We start from the raw sequence: 23299 nt of genomic DNA, 5'->3' as shown, positions 1-23299 counted from the left end.
CATTCTGGTCTCCAGACTGCTGCTCCTGCCCACCCCCGGTTCCAGCACTCCCTTCCCCATTCTCCTATCCAGATCCTCTGTTCCAGGCACAGCCACTTACAGCAGCTCAAGCCAGTGGCACCCACGGAGAGGCCCTCTTCACCCTACTGCTGGGCTGTCATGTCCCCTTTCTTTTCTTTCTGAAAAACAGTTTTCTCTGCCTATGACTCCTCATGTTTCACTCTCTCTAAAGCACACGGAAGCCTGGTTCCCTCCTCTGCTTTATCAGACCTGTTGCTGTGAGTTCCACTAGTGACCCTGCATGACAAATTCGGAGGTTTGCTCCCTTTTGCATAGCATAAAATGTTTACCTCGTGACATACTTGATAAATACAATTTTATAATTGTTAAGCTATCTATATATTCTGTATCTGTTTCAAAAATTATTTATAGGCGAGGCAAGGTGGTTCATGCCTGTAATCTCAGCAGTTTGGGAGGCTGAGGCGAGAGGATCATGAGGTCAGGAGATCGAGGCCATCCTGGACAACATGGTGAAACTCTGTCTCTACTAAAAATACAAAAATTAGCTGGGTGTGGCAGCATGCACCTGTAATCCCAGCTACTCAGGAGGCTGAGGCAGGAGAATAGCTTGAACCCAGGAGGCGGAGATTGCAGTGAGCCAAGATCGTGTCACTGCACTCCAGCCTGGCGACAGAGTGAGACTGCGTCTTCAGCCCCCCCAAAAATATAAAGACAATGTCAATTATGCCACACATAGGTTGTTTTTATTCCATAATATTGCTCTCCATATGTGTAATATGTTTCTACTTCACACATAGTTTTGATCAAAGATTAATCTATTGCACAGATATTTTTCTTAGTAATTAATAAAACTCAGCTTGGATTTCTTTAGCTAGATAAAACACCTTATACTAAGTGAATCAATCAAAGCTCTTTGTTGGAGTGAGATCTGAAAACTTTCGCTCAAGCTGGCTGCCTCAGCTTCACGGCATCAAATAATGGAGGGAGAAGTGGAGGCTGACATGCAGCAAGAATGACTGTGTGTGTGCTGGAGAGATATTTTGTTTAATTCATTTACAAGATACTCATGCCACACTGCTATGTGCCAAACAGCTGTTCTTGCTACTTGGTAAAAATTAATCATCTAATAGTTGAAAAGTTAATTGTTGTAATGTGACTTCAGTACGGCCAATCTCCAGGATTGAGAGCCAAAAAAAAGCATCACCATCATGATTGAGAAATGGAGTTACTGGCAGTAATGGAGCAAACCACGATTCTGCACTTGGACACAGAATTATTCCTGACAAGATCCTGGCTCCTAACTCTTCCACCAAAACCGAGTCTGCAGCTCCCACACTGAAATGCTGCTCATTTCACCCCAAGTGTGTTCCAGCCGTTCCTTCTTCTTCTCCTTCCTACCAGCTCTGTAATGTCTCCATCACAATGCTAAGGTCAGGGTCAATGGCACTTCGTTTCAGAAACTTTCTGAGAGCCCTGGAAAGTAATCTCTTCTTGTTCTTATTCTATGATCTCCTGCACCTTCTTTAAATCACTGATGATCATTTGTGTAGATGAGTTGTCTCCGTGTGTGTCTGACCTTTCTCCCAGTTGGTGAGTTTTGGAATCCAGGAAACATTTTAGTAAAGTAATAGTTTTTAGTAATTTAGTTCACCTCTGTGCACCCTACAGCCGTTTCTCACATGTTGGGGCTGCCCAGTGAGCACTTGTTGAGGGAAACTGCAGGGAGACTTGCAGGTCAGCTTCACTGAGCCAGAAAGTGAAGCAAACTGAGAGGGCAAAGTGCAAGACACTGGCTGAAATATATGAACACACTGGGGAAACAAACATTCCCGGCCTCTGTGGAGGTGGAACACAGTCGCTGAGGTCTGTGATTCAGCAGCACCCACCTGGCAAAGCATGCTCAGCATCGGGCTTCGTTCTCCCATAGTGCTTTCATGGCAAGGAAGAAAAGCTATACATACTAACATGGGCCAGCTGGAAACCACAACTATATAGTATTTCTTTTCAGCTTTTCAGCTGGAATTCCGAAAGAACTCTGAGGTCATGTAGAGTGCGGCATACTGTTAGATGGGGCCTGGGTGGGCTTGGTGTTACAGGACCTGCCCCAGGTCATGGTCTGTGGTGCGGAGGGAGGGTGTGATTTCCCATCCCCTTCTTATCTCTTTGTCCCATACTTTTTGCCCTGTACACACATGATCGTCCTCAATATCTTAAGTGGGATCTCCCATATAGCTAAAATTGATATTGGCATCTGAAGTATGCCTAACTTAGCTGAATATTTGGCCTTTGCCTTTAAAGGATCTGTAAGCTATTGGGATGAGACCAGGGAGAAAAAGGAAGACCATAGATAACTCAAGCATAATCTGCCATCCAATAATTTCATGACATGCTTATCCTTGGAATAAAGTTGGACTGTTGTCAGGAAACTGTCCCACCATTTTTTTTGCATGTAGAGACCTCCATCGCTATGGCCTCCATTGTAATGGGCTGTCATTGGGTTTGAAAAAAGTCTACATGTTGATTTTCATGGCAATAAAAGAGTCAGAGGTGCAAGCTGGAGCAAGGTGCTCGCCAAAGCTAGGCCTTTCCCCTCCCTCAGGAACTGGCAACAAGAGCAAGAGTTAGCTTCCTGAATGTTTGCATTTCAAAGAGACAGCTCTCAGGTCTTTGGGGAGACAATTCTGGGATGTAGATTTACACTTCAAAGGCAGAGAAAAGATTTATAATTGCAAGCTTTCTAAGGTTCTAAGAGGGGATTCAGGGCTCTACCTGCCCATCACCAGGTTTTGCCTGAAACAAACAGTAAATTCTCCTTGCAAGTGAGCTTTCTCAGGCAGTCATTTTAAGGAGGGCTGGGGTCATCCGTGGGACATCCTTGTGCTGCTGGAAGCCTCACTAGAGTTTGGTCCTCTCTTTGGACAGGGGTTTGGAAGGAGTAGTTAAGTACTGCGAGGCCTGCGTTCTCATGACCAAAGTTCACAAATGCCCATTTCCTTCTTTCTTTCTTTTTCTTTTTTTTAATATTTAAAAATCTTTATGTGTCTATTAACACCTTTTGGAAATTTCCATCCCTTTCAAACTATGTTCCAGTCAAACAAAACAAAGTGTGGCCCAGCAGCCCTGGGGAGTCTCTGGGTGAAGGGGAGATGAGCACACAAATGTTGAGAGTTTGAGAACCCCTGGCCTTGATCTTTATGATAGTTGGTCAAGTGGTCATCAGTGAAATCCACAGGGATTCCCTGAGAGTGTATAGCTTTGGCATGATGGTTGCTGTAATCTGAAGGGGAAAGTAGAAGTTTACATGTGAGTACTGAAGAAGCTTGAGACTGTCTCGCTCTGTCACCCAGGCTGGATGCAGTGGGGCCTTCTGGGCTCACTGCAACCTCCACAATTCTCCTGCCTCAGCCTCCCCAGTAGCTGGGATTACAGGTGCCTGCCACCACATCTGGCTAATTATGTTTTTCTTTAAAATTAGTTTTATTTAAAAAGTACAAGTAGCATCTTACTTTTACTTTTGCAAAAAGTAAAGAAATGGTGTTTCGTTGCAAAAATTAAACAAATAAATTTTGGATTGTAGAAAATTCATTAAAAACTCAAATTTTAATTTATTTAAAATCTATCTGGTGCTGTAAGTGTGGCTATTGGCAGATCTCTTTTTATTTATTTTTATTGATTTATTCATATTATCAATAACTAATTTTTAAATTATTATTCGTGAGCCCTTTCCCATGACAGCTTCTTGGAAATTTCTTTCTCTCCCATTAATCTAGTATGATCTCTCAGGCATATTTATTTAAAGTTCTTCCTCTCACTATTCCCTTCTTCACCATCATGCCTAGGTTAGTTACAAAGAACTAATTTAATGACCCATTTATTCTGAAGGGAGGCACAAGAAGTGAAGCTTCTTTCTGAGGCCTGAAGGGATCTCACCTCCTTAAATCTCTGTTTTCCTACCCCTACTTCAGATATTATTGAGACATTATATTTTCTTCCTCTACCTTCAGAAACTTCAGTATCAACAGGTCCAGATCTGCCTAAGCCCTCAGATGAGTCTGCAAACAATCATTGTGTCAACATTTGACTCATGCCTTGCAGATGATCCCAGGCACCGCTGTCTTAACCTGTGAAAACCGCAAATTCTTGGCACAAACAACTTCTTCTGCACATCCCTCCTCCTCATACATACAGTAAGGGACTTGGCCAAATTCCAACACAGCCTCTATCAGCTCAGAGCCACGTCCCTACGATGCCCCATACCCCTCTAAAGCACCTGCCTGGGAACATTCAATTCTGCCAAAAGAATTTACTGTTTGTCCCACCCAAAACTTGACTATAGGCCCCTGACCTCCCATTTCTAAGAGCTTTAACTTTAGAAAACTTGCAATTATGGCCAGGCGTGGTGGCTCAAATCCCATCACTTTCGGAGGCTGAGGAGGGTGGATCTTGAGGTCAAGAGAGCAAGACCATCCTGGCCAACATGGTGAAAACCCGTCTCTACTAAAAATACAAAAATTAGTTGGGCGTGGTGGCACACACATGTAGTCCCAGCTACTTGGGAGGCTGAGGCAGGAGAATCACTTGAACTTGGGAAGCGGAGGTTGCAGTGAGCCGAGATCGCCCCACTACACTCTAGCTTGGTGACAGAGTGAGATTCCGTCTAGAAAAAAAAAAAAACACAAAAAAACAGAAAACCTGTAGTTATAAACCTTTTCTCTGTCCCTTTAAATCTCCTATAACACAGAATGTCTTTCTCAAAGACTTAGGAGCTATCCCTTTGGACTATAAGGATCAAGAAGGATACAGGATTGTCTCCTGGTCTCTGTCTCTGCGTAGGAACCTAACTTTGATAAGCACTATTAGCAAACACAGATGGCCTCATCACATTGACCAACCTTTCCCCAAACATCAGTCCATGCTTTTCCTTTAGCACACTCCAACATTTGCAGAGCCTCTTGCTTTTTGTTTCAGTGGAGTTGAGGCTTTCTAACATACTATAAATTGATATGTCTACTTATTGATTAGAAGACAGAAATTAATCACTGGATTTCATTATCACGCTGACTTTTAGGATTAAAAGCAGCCTGTGGTTACAGATGCAACATCTTTACATTTCGAAGAAAAACAGGAGAGATTTGTCTTTGGCTCCTTTGGACCTCACTGAGTAATAGAAAAGAGAGAATTGAACAGGTTTGGATGATACAGCACAAGTCAGTTTAAAGTTCCAGGCAAAGAAAGCAACGGTTATTTTTCACTCCAGAGAGTGAATCATTCTTTGGGGCCACAAAAGAGAAGATTTGAAGAATAAGCAGGGACATCTAGAAGGTGGCTGAGTGTACTCCATCGGGTTAAATTAAGCTATTTTGTTGTTGTTGTTCAAATAGCTTCCCCACACGGTACATTTCATATCTAAAGTGCTATTCCCTCTCCCATCATTTTATTACGTATGCAATATCTGGCTGAGAACCTCTGTCTTGCCCTCCTTCTTACTGGTTAAGAACACAGACAGTCCTCTCTTTGCACAGCAGTGCAGGGCCATACAAATCACTATGTAAGCTAAAGATCTGTAAAGTGACCTAAACAATCCATGTGAAACATCGACTGTTCTGTGTCATTTAAAAATTTTGGCCAAAACATTAAAAATCTCTTACTGTTGGTTATAAATGTATAAAGAAATGAAACATAGTGAAATTAGTACTTTTTTTTTTTTTTTTTTTGAGATGGAGTCTCGCTCTGTCGCCCAGACTGGAGTGCAGTGGCACGATCTCGGCTCACTGCAAGCTCCACTTCTTGGGTTCAAGCGATTCTTCTGCCTCAGCCTCCCAAGTAGTTGTGGCATGCCACCACACCAGGCTGATTTTTTCTATTTTTAGTACAGACAGGGTTTCACTGTGTTAGCCAGGATGATCTTGATCTCCTGACCTCATTATCCGCCTCAGCCTCCCAAAGTGCTGGGATTACAGGAGTGAGCCACCGTGCCTGGTTGGGAGTACTTCATTTTTACACTGTAATTTAAAACATTAAACAACAGCCAATTAAAGTGCTTTATTTATTTATAGACGTATATCAAGCCCAGTTTGAACAGTGCTTGCCTCCCTCTTGTCGTATAGCTTATGATAAGGAGCCAGCAGTGTTTCTATGCCTTGGTGAACTGTCGTGCTGTTTTCGGAACAGCATCTAACATTGTCAACATTGTCATGCAATATCTACAAGAGTTCCTTTAATATGAAGTTTGTTGCTGTCTTTGCCGGCATCACTTCCTCTGGGGCTTCTTCATCCTTTTCATCACAGCTGCGTTCCTCATTTATGTCAGAACACTGCGTTGCGCCGAGTTCCTCTTGCTGCATTTCCTGTGGTGAGCCAATTCTATGATTCCATTTACATTGTATTTGAATACACTTCCAGGGTTATCACATTTTTTATTTCTTTGCTGCACATCAATGGTTGTTGACCAGTTTTTTCTTCTGATTATTCATATTTATAAATGTCACATGGGTTTCTCACTGGGAGACAAGGAGTCAACACGATTGCAGACTTTGCTGTCTGTGTGCAAACTAGCAGATGCACAGTGAGCAGTCACTGACAGGCTTTGAAGGAAGTGAATTGTGTCCCCCTAAAAAGATATATTTGAAATCCTAATCCCCAATATCTCAAAATAATATGATCTTATTTGGAAATAGCACATTTACAGAGGTTCTCAAGTTAAAATGAGGTCATTAGGGTGGGTCCTAATCCAATAGACTAACTGGTGTCTTATAATAAAGGAGAATTTGGATACAGCTCCAGACACACACACAAAAAAAGACGATGTGAAGACACATAGAGAAAACAGAGTGATATATCTATAGATCAGACAACAACAAGGATGGCTGGCAAACCCAAACAGGAAGGAGAGGGGAAGAAGGATTCTCCCCTAGAGCCAGCAGAGAGCATGAACCTGCCAACACATTGATTTCTGACTTCTAGCCTCCACAACTACGAGTCAATACATTTCTGTTGTTTTAAGCAACCCGGCTTTTCATACTTTGTTGCAGCATCCCCACAAGATTAATACAGTCCCTAATCATGATGCTTGCCTGTTATTTACTCACATAGGCATTTGTGGAATTAAGAGCTGGGAACGAAGTTTGGATTTTATGCAGTTGCTCACAGTTAGCATATTGTGGTAACTGAAATTGTAACCACGTTTTTGGGAGACTAGTGCTATTTAACTAAACTATGTTAATTAAACCTGTGCATATTCAAATGTGCAAAGCCAGGACTGTTTTTACTTAGTTCAGGTATTTAGAGGGAAAGAATGTTTGCCTCTTTTCAGGGCCTTAGAGCATGCCCTGTGCCAGCAGGCCCCTTCCACAGCTACTTAACATCTCTTCTCATCTTGCCAGCCACCTCTCAACTCAGATGACCAGCAAGGCCATCTTTGACTATCAAAATGAAGTAGCCCCTCTCCGCTTTTGACTACGTTCACTTGCTTTATTGTCTTTATAGCATTTTTATTTACTAAAATAACATTTTTTTCATTACTTGATTTTTTTCTTGATTCAGTACTTCTAAAAAATGCAGATTAAAATTCCAATGACAAACCAAGTTAACTAATGTTAAAAAGTGTGATACTGGCCAGGCACGGTGGCTCATGCCTGTAATCCCAGCATTATGGGAGGCTAAGGCAGGCAGATCACAAAGTCAGGAGATCGAGACCAACCTGGCTAACACGGTGAAACCCCGTCTCTAACAAAAATACAAAAAATTAGCCGGGCGTGGTGGTAGGCACCTGTGGTCCCAGCTACTTAGGAGGCTGAGGCAGGAGAATGGTGTGAAACCAGAAGGCGGAGCTTGCAGTGAGCCGAGATCACGCCACTGTACTCCAGCCTGGGTGACAGAGCGAGACTCTGTCTCAAAAAAAAAAAAAAAAAACAAACTGTGATACTATTAGGTATTGTTGAGAATATAGATCTATCAGAACCTTTAACTTCTCATGGGAGCATAAATCGGAAAACAGTTCATTTTAACTTAGTGTACAAATCTTTTGACACAATGATTTGAATGTTGGGTTTATACCTTAGAGAAAATCTAACTCTTATGTCCAGGAGACTCATACAAGAAAAGGACATCTACTTTTTGTAACAGAAAAAAATGGATAATAACCCCAATCTAATAAAATGGAATGCTCATTATAGTATTATCCTGTGATGGAATACTCTAAATCAATGCACAGAAAGTACAGATAAACATATCATAAGAATGAATCTTACAAATTTAATATTGAACCAAAAAGCAATTTCAGAAAAATATATTCAGTGTGATCCCATTTGTTTAAACTGAAAAACATGTAAAACAATAATGTTCAATGTCCTTTACTAATGCATTTATTTTGGCAAAATTATAAAGGCAAGAAATGGGACTAATTAACAGGACAGTGTTAAGGACTCTAAAAATATGGGTAGTTTTTGATTCTTAAGCAGGTAATGTGTACATCAGTGTTCATTTTATTATTTCTTACACTGTGTTCATGACTTACACATAATATTTTGCTAGTTTTAAAACATAAGATGTGATAATAATCTAAACAGACCAAAGGAAAAAATGAATATGTTAAAAAAAAAGACAGAGAATGAGCCCTGTCTGATAGAAAGCATAACAAAGCAAGTAGAAGAACTCTCACGAATGCTTGATCCAATAAAGCTAGGTTTGTGCTCCACAACACTTCAGCATTTTAATGTGATTTTTGATGTTTGCTTTTTGCAACGGTGATTCTCAGTTGCCTCCCTCCTATGTCTTTACAAGCTGAAATCAAGTGAAGCTACTTCTGACTTTTTCTAAAACTAAAACCCAACATGAAGGTCTGCGTATTCTTTCACATGTGCACGTATGTGGCACTTTTCCATGATGCAACAGCAGCGGGTCTCTAGCTAAGCTACAGCAGCAGCTCTAAGAGGCAGAGGACCCTGAAATGAGGCTGAAAGAAAGAATAGTCCATAACTGACATCAGGCAGGCTGCTGTTGTAAGCAAAGAAAGGAGGCTCACAGGGGCGTGGACTCAGGCCAGGTCAGGCTATTGTGGGAGAACACGGAGCACACGTGTCAGCTGGAAAGGGGCCGGCTCAGGAGACAAAATAGGCACGAGAGGAAACCGAAAAATTGACATACGTGACTATCCTTGTAGAAATGTATAAAGGTTTGGATTATTTTGCTTATCGAGTTATAATAAACTTATTCTAAAAATGTTTATGTAAAGTATTATGTACATTTTTGTTTTACCTTATAAAGATTATTTATATTTGAATTGTGTGGTTTTGGAATGACAGTATTTATAAAGTTGGTTTTGACATTCTCTACGATGCTTAATGAAGAAACTGACGTTCAAAGAGATTGGTTAATTCCCTGTGGCCAGTGGCTGAGCTGGGACAGAGTTCAGGTTTTCTGATTCTCAGCCTATGTTGTTTTCTCTTCATTTTAATGTGAACCTAAATAGGTATAGGATCTAGACAAATATGACATGTAGTGCCTTATTTCTTGTTTTCTCTGTAATGAATGCCAGGTGAGATAACTTTATTTACAAAAGCCCATCCAGTGGCTCAGGTTGCATCTGTAGTTGCCTTTGAATCATTTATTCAACGTCAGGATGGTAAAGTGAGGAGCTTCCCCAAACTGAAGCAGAGTGGCATTTGTCCCAGGTTGTAGAGTGTTCCCTGCCATAAATAAAGACATGCTGGTTCTTGTTATTTATACAGGCACTGGGGTTCCCATTAGCTCTTACATTTCATATGCTTAGAGCAAGAAGCTAGAGAGTGACTTAGGATACAGTGTAAATATATTAGTAAATTAAGACAGTTCTGCAAGATTTTTAGGACTTCTATTTTTCTTCTATTCATCATTTATGAAGTATTCTTGCTGGAAATAGTTTATGTCTCTCTATCTTGCTGAGTGATGAATACTCGGCCAGGATGTTAAAATGTGGTTTCATGAAGTATGTTGTGTTTCTGTCTGTTCTTGTTTCCTTCCTTGAAATGTGTAAAAGTGAAAAACGTATTAATCATAAATCAAGCATTCATCATAAGCCTAAAAAAAGATAAAATAATCAGTAGTATCATTGACTAAAATTATTACTCACCAAAAGAAACTCACTCCAAAGTTAGCACAATACTAACAGAGAATCCTAGTTTTGCCAGGAATCACTGAGGCATAGTACCTCACATGGGAAACATGGGAAGTAAAACCACCTGAGGAGCCACTTGATGGTGAGTCAGGCTGTTCCTCGAAGAGCAGGCTGTGACTGCCAAACTTTGTAGGTTAAGGAGTATTTATAATGATCTTTGAGGAAACTGCAACTGACAATTGAGGAAAAAATATGTTAGTTCATGACTGCAAAATACATGACAGAATCACAAAAACTATTTTACAAGTTTAAAAAACAAACCTGATGCTGATGCAGGGCAGGCAAACCCCAAAGTGGGGCTTAGCCTGCAAGGGTTCTTGGCTTCACCCAGGAAAGGATTCAAGGGCGAGCCAGTGGTAAGGTGGAAGAAAACACCTTTATCAAAGCAACACTGTTGCAGCTCCTGTGGGGTCACAGCTCAGTGACTGCTCCCAGGGTTGCCCCATAGGCAGGGTGCCGAGAGTAGTGGCTGAGCCCAGTTTTGCAGTCATATGTATACCTACTTTTAATTACATGCAGATTCAGGGGTGGTTTGTGCAGAAATTGTTAGGAAAAGGGTGGTAATTTTTGGGTCATCAGGTCATTGTTGCTGAAAGGGGTGGTAATGCCTGAGTGTTGCCATGGCAATGGTAAACTGACAGGGCACACTGGTGGGTGTGTCTTACAGAAAGCTGCTTCCTCTCTGTCCTTGTTTAGCTAGCCCTCAATCTTTTGTTTGTAAATTAGCAAGAGAGTCATGGCCTTGGCGTTTTATCCCAGAAGTACAGTGGACCCCAGAGCACTCTAGACCCAGGAGCCAAACCAAATCACAGCATCCCACAGTTGTGTCCAGCCCTCCATCACTGATTGGCTGCAATCCAACAAGTGGCCCAGAGGGGAGGGTTCATTGAAAGCTCTTTGCTAAGTGACAGGCCTTTAAGGAGGAAAAGGCTCTTAAAGATTGGTATGGGATGGGGGAAGTGTTTGTGGTCACCACGGCACCCCAAGGCTGTGGCCTTCTCTGAGCACCCTGAGACTCAGCCATGTCTTTCTCTCTGTTTTCCCACAAAACCAGCCAGTGCTAAAGCATATCCTCCTGGCCTACAAACAGTGGCCATGACTTCCAACTCATCCAGGCTACTTCTGATTTAGTGTTAGGCCGCCCACTTGATGTGTATGTTCCCATGCTGTGTCGACCCTATTGCTTAATGAAAACACACAGCACTTGTTTGCTTCTCAACTTACTTCTCATGAAATATTACTACTCCTCCCCACCCAATCACAATCCTTTGCTGCCAAAAATCCCTTGCTACCCTGTACATTTTGCCCAATAAGGGAACCCCTCAGCACACACACACAATGGCCTCCTCAGAAGGCTGAGTCAGCAGAATCGCATGAACCAGGGAGTTGCAGGTTGCAGTGAGCCAAGATTGCGCCACAGCACTCCAACCTGGCGACAGAGCAAGACTCTGTCTCAAAACAAACAAACAAACAAACAAAAAACAAAAAAAATGCCTCACTCATCTCACTTATGTAATCATGACAGTACCATTAATTGTATTATCCCTATAATACAGATGACAGCTGCCAAAAATATACAGAGAAGGGTTAATTAAACTGCATAACATTACTCAGAGAATGCATTCTTTTTATTCCATAGGTTTTTCTATTACAGTACTACATACACAGAGGCCTTCCATTGGAAATAACTTATAGGAATTATTGTAGGCCTCTTTGCACTTTCTTCAGCTCTTGGTTTAGGTCTCAAATTGTGAGTGATTTCTCTCTTTAGTGAAGTTGTAATGCAATTCATTACCATAGCAGAAAACACAGAAAATATTACCTATTTATTAACTGGAAATGCACTCACATCTTGTATTAGTCCATTCTCATGCTGCTATGAAGAAATATCCAAGACTGGGTAATTATAAAGAAAAGAGGTTTAATTGATTCACAGTTCCACATGGCTAGGGAAGCCTCAGGAAACTTACAATCATGGCAGAAGGCACCTCTTCACATGGTGGCAGCAGAAATAATGAGTTTTGAGCAAAGGGGAAGCCCCTTATAAAATGATCAGATCTCATGAGAACTCACCCACCATCATGAGAACAGCATGGGGGCAACTACCCCATGATTCAATTATGTTCACCTGATCCTACCCTTTACACTTGGGGATTATGGGAACTGCAATTCAAGATGCGATTTGGGTGGGGACACAGAGCCAAATCATATCATTCTGTCCCTGGCCCCCCTCCAAGTCTCATGTCCTCACATTTCAAAACACAATCATACCTTTCCAACAGTTCCCCAGAGTCTTAGCTCATTACAACATTAACCCAAATGTCCAAGTCCAGAGTTTCATCTGAGTCAAGTCCCTTCCACCTATGAGCCTGTAAAATCAAAAGCAAGTTAGTTACTTTGTAGATACAATGGAGACACAGGCATTGGGTAAATACACCCATTCCAAATGGGAGAAATTGGCCAAAACAAAGGGGCTACAGGCCCTATGCAAGTCTGAAATCCAATAAGGCAGTCATTAAACCTTAAAGTTCCAAAATGTTCTCCTTTGATTCCAGGTCTCACATCCAGGTCACACTGATGCAAGAAGTAAGCTCCCATGGCCATGGGCAGCTCCACCCCTGTGGCTTTGCAGGGTACAACCCCCTCCTGGTTGCTTTCATGGGCTGGCATTGAGTGTCTGTGGCTTTTCCAGGGGCACAGTGAAAGTTGTCAGTGGATCTACCATGCTGGGGTCTGGAGGACAGTGACCCTCTTCTCACAGCTCCACTAGGTAGTACCCCAGTGAGGACTCTGTGTGGGGGCTCCAACCCCACATTTCCGTTCTGCACTGTCCTAGCAGAGGTTCTCCATGAGGGCTTTGCCCCTGCAGCAAACTTCTGCCTGGGTATCCAGGCATTTCCATACATCCTCTGAAATCCAGGTGAAGGTTCCCAAACCTCAATTCTTGACTTCTGTGAACCCACAGGCTCAACACCACATGGAAGCCTCCAAGGCTTGGAGCTTGGACCCTCTGAAGCAATGGCCTGAGCTGTACCTTGGCCCCTTTTAACTGTGGCTGGAGCTGAAGCATCTGGGAGACAGGGCACCATGTCTCAAAGCTGCATAGAACAGGGGGTCTTGGGCCCATGAAACCATTTTTCCCTCCTAGGTTTCCAGGCCTGTGATGGGAGAGGCTGCCAAGAAGGTCTCTGACTTGCCCTGGAGACATTTCCCTCATTGTCTTGGTAATTAGTATTCCACTCCTTGTTCTGCAAATTTCTGCAGCTGGCTTGAATTTCTCCCAAGAAAATGGGTTTTTCTTTTCTATCGCCTTGTCAGGCTGCAAGTTTTCCAAACTTTTATGCTCTGCTTCCTCTTGAACACTTTGCTGCTTAGAAATTTATTCCACGAGATACCCTAAATCATCTCTCTCAAGTTCAAACTTCCACAGCTCTCCAGGGCAGGGGCAAAGTGTTGCAGTCTCTTTGCTAAAGCGTAGCAAGAATCACCTTTATCCCAGTTCCCAACAAGTTCCTCATCTCCATCTGAGACCACCTCAGCCTGGACTTCATTTTCCATGTCACTATCAACATTTTGGTAGAAGCCATTCAAGTCTCTAGGAAGTCCCAAACTTTCCCACATCTTCTTGTCTTCCAAGTCCTCCAAGTCTCTAGGAAGTTCCACACTTTCCCACATTCTTCTGTCTTCTTTTTTTTTTTTGAGATGGAGTTTCGCTCTTGTTGCCCAGGCTGGAATGCAGTGGTGCAATCTCTGCTCACTGCAACCTCCACCTCCCATGTTCAAGCCATTCTCCTGCCTCAGCCTCCCAAGTAGCTGGGATTACAGGCATGCATCATGATGCCCAGCTAATTTTATATTTTTAGTAGAGATGGGGTTTCACCATGTTGGCCAGGCTGGTCTCACACTCCTGATCCCAGGTCATCCACCTGCCTCGGTCTCCCAAAGTCCTGGGATTACAGGGATGAGCCACCACACCCAGCCTTTACTGTCTTCTTCTGAACCCTCCAAACTATTCCAACCTCTGCCTGTTGCCCAGTTCCAAAGTCACTTCCACATTTTAGTGTATCCTTATAACAGCACCCTATGTCTGTGGTACCAATTTACTGTATTAGTCTGTTTTCATGCTGTTATGAAGAACTCCTCAAGACTGGGTAATTTATAAAGAAAAGAAGTTTAATTGACTCATAGTTTCACATGGCTGGGGATGCCTCAGGAAACTTACAATCATGGCCAAAGGCACCTCTTCACAGGGTGGCAGCAGAAACAATGAGTTCTGAGTGAAGGAAGAAGCCCCTTATAAAACCGTCAGATCTTGTGAGAACTCACTATCACGAGAACAGCTTGGAGAAAACCACCCCTGTGATTCAATTATGTCCATCTGGTCCCACCCTTGACACATAAGGATTATGGGAATTACAAGATTACACATTAATCTTAAATTACACATTAATAAGTGTGTAATGAAACATCCCCTTTTTTTATTTGAGTTCATTTCAATAGATATGGAAATAATAGAAAATGCATCTGACATCAAATTCCTGGGAAGTACAGACAAAAAAAAAAAACCAAAAACAGATCTTTAAAGGTATTTGAATAAGTAAATGTTGCAGCCAAACCATATCACTTGTTAAAAATGCACGTTAACCATTGAATCAAAACCATATATAAGCTTAGATAATTCAATTTCAACCAGATTATTCCTTTTATTCTTTAAATGATGGAGAACATTATAGCCATAGGCTCGTGCTGACAATTTTTCCTTAAATGAATGAAAAGATGAATTTATTTTTCTCAAAGAATTCTGTACCATTATAGGAATAAAAGATCAGCAGTTGTAACAGGGAATGGCCAAAAAGCCTGAAATAACATTGCTGTTAAGAATTAGCTATTACAAAATCGCCCCAAGAAATCTCAGTGCTCCACAAACTTCACATGGTTGAGGGCCATAATTATTATAAAAGTTGAACTATGTTAATTCAGAGATCACTGTCATTATTACTCTCAAGGATCCGAGAGCCATGCATAATCCCAGAACATTGCATACCTAATCAGGAATGGAGAAGTAATGTCCTTTTGAATTTTATACCTCTGGGGCTGCCCATAAAAATCTTAGGATTTTGAGCTCTTTGAGGGTCATGATGTTTACCTCTATTCTCTTTCTGTCCACAAACATCTAAGATATCAGTAATGTTATTCACTAATTTGCTGACAAAGAGTAAATTGAATAAAATTTAAATATATTTACTCTGAAAGTAATAAAATTTAAATATATTTACTCTGAATATATGATCTTTAGAATAAACTAATTTTTCAGTGATTCATTCTGCACAATTTTAAATCTTTTTCATAGTAACCTCAGTTTGTGTGACTTTAAATGGGAAAACTCACATTTTAAATGTATAATGAAACATCCTCATTTTTGATTTGAGTTCATTTCAATAGATATGGAAATAATAGAAAATGTCCCTGAGGTCAAATTCCTGGGAAGTAGAAGCAAAAAAATACCAGATCTTTAAAGGTATTTGAATAAGTAAATGTTGCAGTCTGTACTTTATCAGTAAGCTATGATACAAAAAACAATGCATGGCAGTTGCTTGTCAATTTTGTGATTTATTCAGAAACATACATCTCTGCATACACTTACAGTTTTATACAGTAGTGCAAAACGTCAAAAGCACTGATGTTGCTCAAAGGAAATGTTAAGGAGCTAAGCCTCGCTGCAAATTCCTTCACAAACCCGTCCAATCCTGTGAGCGTCGAGCGGCCTTCACATCACAGCCTGCATCCTGACAGGCCCGTGAGACCCATCCCGCTTCATGGAACGTGAGTCAGCAGCTCAGGGAAGGACAAGGACATCTACATAATTGGCTTGAAATATTCAACTTTTCAAAATTTTATATTTTCATACATATAAATATATATTCTTAAAATGTATTTTTGTTTTTCTATCCGAACAGAAGTGCAATAATTCTTTAAAAATACTTCTAAACAGACCAGGGCAGTGGCTCACACCTGTAATCCCAGCACTTTGGGAGGCCGAGGCAGGTGGATCACAAGGTCAGGAGATTGAGACCATCCTGGCTAACACGGTGAAACCCTGTCTTTACTAAAAATACAAAAAAATTAGCCAGGTGTGGTGGCGGGCGACTGTAGTCCCAGCTGCTGGGGAGGCTGAGGCAGGAGAATGGCGTGAACCCGGGAGGCGGAGCTTGCAGTGAGCCGAGATCGCGCCACTGCACTCCAGCCTGGGTGACAGAGCGAGATTCTGTCTCAAAAAAAAAAAAAAAAAAGATAGAAAATAGCATTAACCTTGAAGGACGCTTTACGCCAAATGGACCTAATAGACACATACAGAAACTTCACCCAACAGCAGCAGAATACACATTCTTCTCAGGGACACATAGAACATTCTGCAGGATAGACAACAGGTTAGACCACAAGACGAATCTTTGCAAATTTAATATTAGAATCATATCAAGTACCTTTTCAGACAACAATGATATGACACTAGAAACCAACAATAGAAGGAATTCCAGAAAATGTACGAATACGTGGAAACTAAGCAACATGGTGGTGAACCACCAATAGGTCAATGAAGAAATGGAAATTAAAAGAATTAAGCAACATGCTCTTGAACAACCAATAGGTCAATGAAAAAATTAAACAAGAAATGTAAAAATATCTTGAGAAAAACAAAAATGGAAACACAACATACCGAAACTTATGAGATCCAGCAAAAGCATTTCTAAGAGGAAAGTTTATAGCAATAAACATCAAGAGCAAAAAGAAGAAAGATCTCAAATAAACAACTTAGTATTATGCCTCAAGGAAATAGAAAAAGGATATCAAATTCTTCCAATGTTAGCAGAAGGAAATAAAATAATAAAGATCAGAGCAAAAATAAGTGAAATGAAAACTAGAAAATGACACAAAAGATGAACAAAACTAAGTTTCTTAAAAATATAAAACCAATAATCTTTTAGCTAGACTAAGAAAAAAGGAGAGAAGACTCAAATAAATAAAATTAGAAATGAAAAAGGAGACATTATAACTGATACCACAAAAATACAAAGGATCATAAGAGACTGTTACAATTACATGCCTTTACAAAAATCATTTTTTCATTGGCAACAACATTGGAAAATGTTATGCTAAAAGAAATAAGCGAAGCCAAAAAAGACAAAAACTTCATGTTCTCAATTATATGTGGAATCTAAAACAATCAAACTGAAAGAAGCAGAGAGCAGAATGGTCATTAGCAGAGGCTGGAGGTGCGGGGTGGAACGGATAGATATTGGACAAAAGGTACAAAGCCTCATTTATACAAAAGGAATAATAAGGGTTTTTTTTCTTTGAGATATATTGCAAAACTTGGTGAAAATAGTACATAGTAAAGAATTCTACATTTTAAAAATCACTAAGAGAGTAAATTTCAAATGCATTCCCCATTAAAAATGACAAGTATTTGAGGTGGTGGATGTTAATTAGCTTGATATAATTATTCCAAATTGTATTCATAAATTATATCACCATTTTGTACTCCATAAATATACACAACTACGATTTGTCAATTTACAATTTAAAAATAAAAATCAAAGCACAAAACAAAACAAGAAAACACAATACGTGTGTGTGTACCTATGCATGTGTGAGTCCATACAAGTGCACACACACACCCCCTTCACGTCCATTACTTTCCAAAGTGGACAAATGTGTAATTATTTCTAATTAATCATTAGAAATACATCAAGGAACAAGTACAATAAGGCAAGTAAATTTACTGATATCCCATCAGAGATAAGTGGGACATTGCAAATTAACAACAATGGAGGAACAAACCACAGTTTATTTTCTTACTTTATGAGACATCCTTTTTGAATTTTGAAAAATTATAGAGAAGTATCTTTAATTTGGTGTAGATGCTTAGTTATTCAAAAGGGAACTCAGAAAAATTAGAAGCAGACCACTTCATTATTTTTCACAATAATAACCAATATGAAACTTTTCCTGGAAGACTAAAATCTTACCACAAAGAAATTAAGCAAAAACATTGGGCACTTCTTATATAAATACAGCCTGTTTTGAAATGGTATGTTTTTTAATTTTTACAAACATTTTCACTTGCAGATAATTTCGCATGTGCATAAAAGTTGAAAAAATATGCAAAGAACTCCCATATACCTACCCTTTACCCAGGTTTATCAATTGTTAACATTTCATCACACTTGTTTATTCTAGATAGGTATTGATATAGATATACACACACATTTTTCTGAATTATCTAAGAGCAAGATGCAGACAGTATGCCCCTTTATTTCTATACACTAGTGTAGATTTCCTAGGAACAAAGTCATTCCTTAAAGGAGGAAATTCAGTGAGGCCTTCTGCAGTAAATGACATTCTGAGCCAGCTGATTTGGCCTTGTGACCAATATGAGGGACTATTTAACTTCGTATTTTTTTATCTCCTTCTTTATTTACACCCAGTTATATTGTTTTCCATTTCGTTTACTCGCATAAATGTCAGATTTGTCCATGTGATTTATCAGGTTTATCAGAATATCAACTTGAATCTTTTCTTTTCTCTAACATTTATCTAAATATCTCAGGAGACTCTCATCCTTCCTTCTCTCCTTTATTCCATTTGCAAAGTTAAAAAAAAAGCCTCAATTATGGCATTTCAGTATTCATAGTAGTACAGATAATACATTTATATCAAGGAAAAGAAACGCATTTTAGGCCAGGCGCGGTGGCTCACGCCTTTAATCCCAGCACTTTGGGAGGCCAAGGCGAGCGGATCAAGAGGTCAGGAGATGGAGACCATCCTGGCCAACATGATGAAACCCCGTCTCTACTAAAAATACAAGAATTAGCTGGATGTGGTGGCGCGTTCCAGTAGTCCCAGCTACTCCGGAGGCTGAGGCAGGAGAATTGCTTGAACCCGGGAGGCGGAAGTTGCCGTGAGCCGAGATGGTGCCATCGCACTCCAGCCTGGCGACAGAGCGAGATTGTCTCTCAAAAAAAAAAAAAAATGCATTTCAAAGGTAAGGAGACATAATATAGAATTTGTACACCAGATTCTGAACTTATGACTATTTTTAAAGGATAATTTGAAAGTTATACCAGAATATGCTGCTTCTTGATTTGGTCTTATTTTGCTCTTTTTATTTCTTGTTTTTGTTTGTTGTTTGAGGTAGGAATTTAGTTGGTTGAGGACTTTATCACTTCTAATATAAACATTTAGTAATAAAAATTTTCCTCTCACCTCTGCTTCAGCTGCATCTTACATATTTTCATATACCTTATTTTTATTTTAAATCAGTTGTATGCACTTTAGTATATTGTCAACAAGATAATATTTCTAAAATAAAAACCAAGACATCAAGGGTTTACTTTCTGAACATTTCTTAACATTAAATCAGCACAGCATCTTCCCAGATCTTTTCGTTTTTGGATGGCTCCATACTTTATTCCCTACCTACCTCCTCTTTCCTTTAAAGAATGATTAACAGGTTCCATAGACAATATCAAATAAAACCCGAAACATAACCAAAGTAATTGGAAGTAAAAGAGAAGGAAGGGTAAGATAGTTAACATAAACATGAACCAGTTTATACACTTTTTAATAATGTTTTTCTTTTACTTAAAAAATAAGTAGAGTGTAAAGGTAGTCCTTTGTTTAATCACTGAATCTCAAACTGTTTACTACAGAATAAAACAAGTAAAATAATCATCATCCATTATAAGCTTAATCAAGATGAGCACTGTTTAATCCTGATTAATTTATAACTAATTTTCTGCTGCTGGTACACTTTTTAAAAACAGCTTTGTTTAGCCATAATTTAAATTTTGTGTAATTTACTCACTTAAAATGTTTCATACATATTAATATATTCATTCAGTTGTTCAATCATCACCAAAGTTTCATTTTATAACATTTTTGGTACCCTCAAAGAGTCCCAGTACCCATTAGCAGTCACTTCCCATTCCTCCTCCACCTTACATCATTAGGCAACCACTGTCTAAACTTGCCTGTTTGGGAGATTTTATATAAACGGAATAATACAAAATGCACTCTTTGGTTCTGGTTTCTTTTATGCAGCATGATATTTACAAGAATATAATATTTTCACCCAGGTTGCAGCATGTGTTAGTACTTCATTCCTTTTGTTGGTCAATAACATGATATCATATATATGATATATGATACACCATATTGTATTTATCCATTCATCAGTTAATTAACATTGGGGTTGTTTTTACTTTTTGGCTATTATAAGTAATACTGTAATAAATATTAAAATTTTTTTAAGAGCTTGTGAAGAATGGCACTAATTCTTTAAATGATTGGTAGATATTATTCTAGAAATGATATTTCGTCAACATTATCTAATATGTTGACATTCTTTTTTCATAGTACCTTTAATAGTTCTTTTTATTTCTATAAGGTCAATAGTAATGTCCCTCTTTCATTCTTAATTTTAGTAAGTTGAATCTTTCTTTCTCCCTGTAAGTGTAGCTAAAGTTTGTTAATTTTGTTAATCTTTTTAAAGACCCAACTCTTGGTTTTGTTGATTTGCTCTACCATTTTTTCTATTTCTTTAATTTCTATTTCAATGTTTATTATATCCTTTCTTCTGCTTATTTTTCATCATGATCTCATCTCTGACTCATTGGTTATTTAGAAGTATGTAGCTAATTTTTATAAGTTCTGCTTTTCCCAAAGTTCTTTCTGTTTTTAATTTCTAATTTAATTCCACTTTGATCAAAGAACAATCATTTTCTACTTTTTTTGAGGTTTGGTTTTTGGCCTAGCATGTGATCTATTTTAGGAACTGTTCCATGTGCACTTGAGAGTAATGTTCCGCTTTTGGGTGTACTGTACTGTCATCTAGCTAGTTTATACTGTTACTCAAATCCTCCATATTCTTGCTAGCATCTATTTAGCTTTTCTGATTATCGAAAGTGAGATACTGATGTCTGCTATGATTACCATCTCCAACTATTATTGTTGAATTCTACCTTTAATTCACCTTTAATTCTACCTTTAATTTTTGCTTTGTAGATTTTGGAAAAATTTCGTTCAGTGCACATAGGTTTATAATTTTTATACCTTCTTGATATATTGTCTCTTTAACATTACAGCATGTCCTTCTTTATCTCTGATGTATCAGTCTGTTCTCACAGTGCTAATAAAGACATACTTGCGACTGGGTAATTTATAAACGAAAGAGGTTTGACCTGGCTAGGGAGGCCTCACAATCACGGTGTAAGGCAAGGAGGAGCAAAGTCACATCTTACAATCATAGCGGCACGCAAGAAAGCATGCTTTATAAAAGCATCACATGGCCGGGCGCTGTGGCTCACGCCTGTAATCCCAGCACTTTGGGAGGCCGAGGCGGGCGGATCATAAGGTCAGGAGATCAAGACCATCCTGGCTAACACGGTGAAACCCCGTCTCTACTAAAAATACAAAAAAATTAGCCGGGCGAGGTGGCGGGCGCCTGTAGTCCCAGCTACTCGGGAGGCTGAGGCAGGAGAATGGCGTGAACCCCGGGGGGCGGAGTGTGCAGTGAGCCGAGATCGCGCCACTGCACTCCAGCCTGGGCGACAGCGAGACTCCGTCTCAAAAAAACAAAAAAAACAAAAACAAAAACAAACAAAAACAAACAAACAAACAAAAAAGCATCACATAACTGGTCTGAGATAGTATCTCATTGTGGTTTTGATTTGCCTTTCTCTAATGACCAGCGATGATGAGCTTTTCTTCATATGTTTGTTGGCTGCATAAATGTCCTCTTTTGAGAAGTGTCTGTTCATATCCTTTGCCCACATTTTGATGGGGTTGTTTGTCTCTTGTAAATTTGTTTAAGTTCTTTGTAGATTCTAGATATTCGCCTTTTGTCAGATGGACAGATTGTAAAAATTTTCTCCCATTCCGTAGGTTGCCTGTTCACTCTGATGATAGTTTCTTTAGCTGTGCAGAAGCTCTTTAGTTTAACCAGATCCCATTCGTCTATTTTGGCTTTTGTTGCCATTGCTTTTGGTGTTTTAGTCATAAAGTCCTTGCCCATGCCTATGTCCTGGATGGTATTGCCTAGATTTTCTTCTAGGGTTTTTATGGTTTTAGGTCTTATGTTTAAGTCTTTAATCCATCGTGAGTTAAATTTTGTATAAGGTGTAAGGAAGGGGTCCAGTTTCAGTTTTCTGCGTATGGCCAGCCAGTTTTCCCAATACCATTTATTAAATAGGCAATTCTTTCCGCATTGCTTGTTTTTGTCAAGTTTCTCAAAGATCAGATGGTTGTAAATGTGTGGTGTTATTTCTGAGGCCTCTGTTCTGTTCCATTGGTCTATATCTCTGTTTTGGTACCAGTACCATGCTGTTTTGGTCACTGTAGCCTTATAGTATACTTTGAAGTCAGGTAGCATGATGTCTCCAGCTTTGTTCTTTTTACTTTTGCATCTTTTAAAGAAGCTGAGGAAGAAAGGAGGGCAAGTATACATTTGTAAAGTTTGTGATATTAATCTTCTTATCTGCCATTTCTGGTTCTCTTTATTTTTGTACACCTGAAAAACCATCTGGTGTCAACCTCTTGGTTGGTCCAATATAGATTTGCTTCTGCTCATATCCTTTGTGCCATTATTGTCAAATATATTACATTTCCATAGGTTACGAATCCAACAATCTGTGTATATACATATCATTTTATGCAATTGCATTTTAAATCATTTAAGGAAAGAAGACAAAATATCCAATTATACTCTAACAATTATCTACATAATTCAATTTACCAGCCTCTTTGTTTTCTCATATGGGGTTGAACACGTATCAGGAATCAGCTTGGAAATCTTTTGTTAGTGTTAATAAATATCAAGATAAATCTTCCAGCAACACATTTTCTCAATTTTTGTTTATATGAAAATGTCTATTTTTTTTTTTTTTTTTCGAGACAGAGTCTTGCTCTGTTGCCCAGGCTGGAGTGCAGTGGTGCAATCTTGGCTCACTTCAAGCTCCGACTCCCAGGTTCACGCCATTCTCCTGCCTCAGCCTCCCGAGTAGCTGGGACTACAGGCGCCCACCACCACGCCTGGCTAATTTTTTCTATTTTTAGTAGAGACGGGGT

At 39.6% G+C, this 23299-nt stretch overlaps 1 long non-coding RNA gene across 1 annotated transcript, besides 1 other annotated feature; it reads right to left on the bottom strand.

The window, feature by feature from the left end:
* Positions 2954–3498: an enhancer, noted in NCBI's record as "NANOG hESC enhancer chr9:39328452-39328996 (GRCh37/hg19 assembly coordinates)". NCBI's record gives its function as "activates a minimal SCP1, AML or CMV promoter by ChIP-STARR-seq in primed H9 embryonic stem cells {active_cell/tissue: H9 hESC(primed)}" and the evidence as "EXISTENCE:reporter gene assay evidence [ECO:0000049][PMID:30033119]".
* LOC105376045 (uncharacterized) lies at positions 5996–10644 on the bottom strand. Its single transcript, XR_929611.3, has 3 exons — positions 10436–10644; positions 10130–10346; positions 5996–10019 (listed from the first exon to the last, which is right to left on the bottom strand). It is a non-coding gene; the product is annotated as an uncharacterized LOC105376045 (long non-coding RNA).
* Positions 10645–23299: the final 12655 nt, after the last annotated feature.

This window comes from Homo sapiens, chromosome 9, assembly GCF_000001405.40.
Source record: "Homo sapiens chromosome 9, GRCh38.p14 Primary Assembly".
Classification (NCBI taxonomy): Eukaryota; Metazoa; Chordata; class Mammalia; order Primates; family Hominidae; genus Homo; species Homo sapiens.
This window is presented reverse-complemented; position numbering and strand designations above follow the sequence as displayed.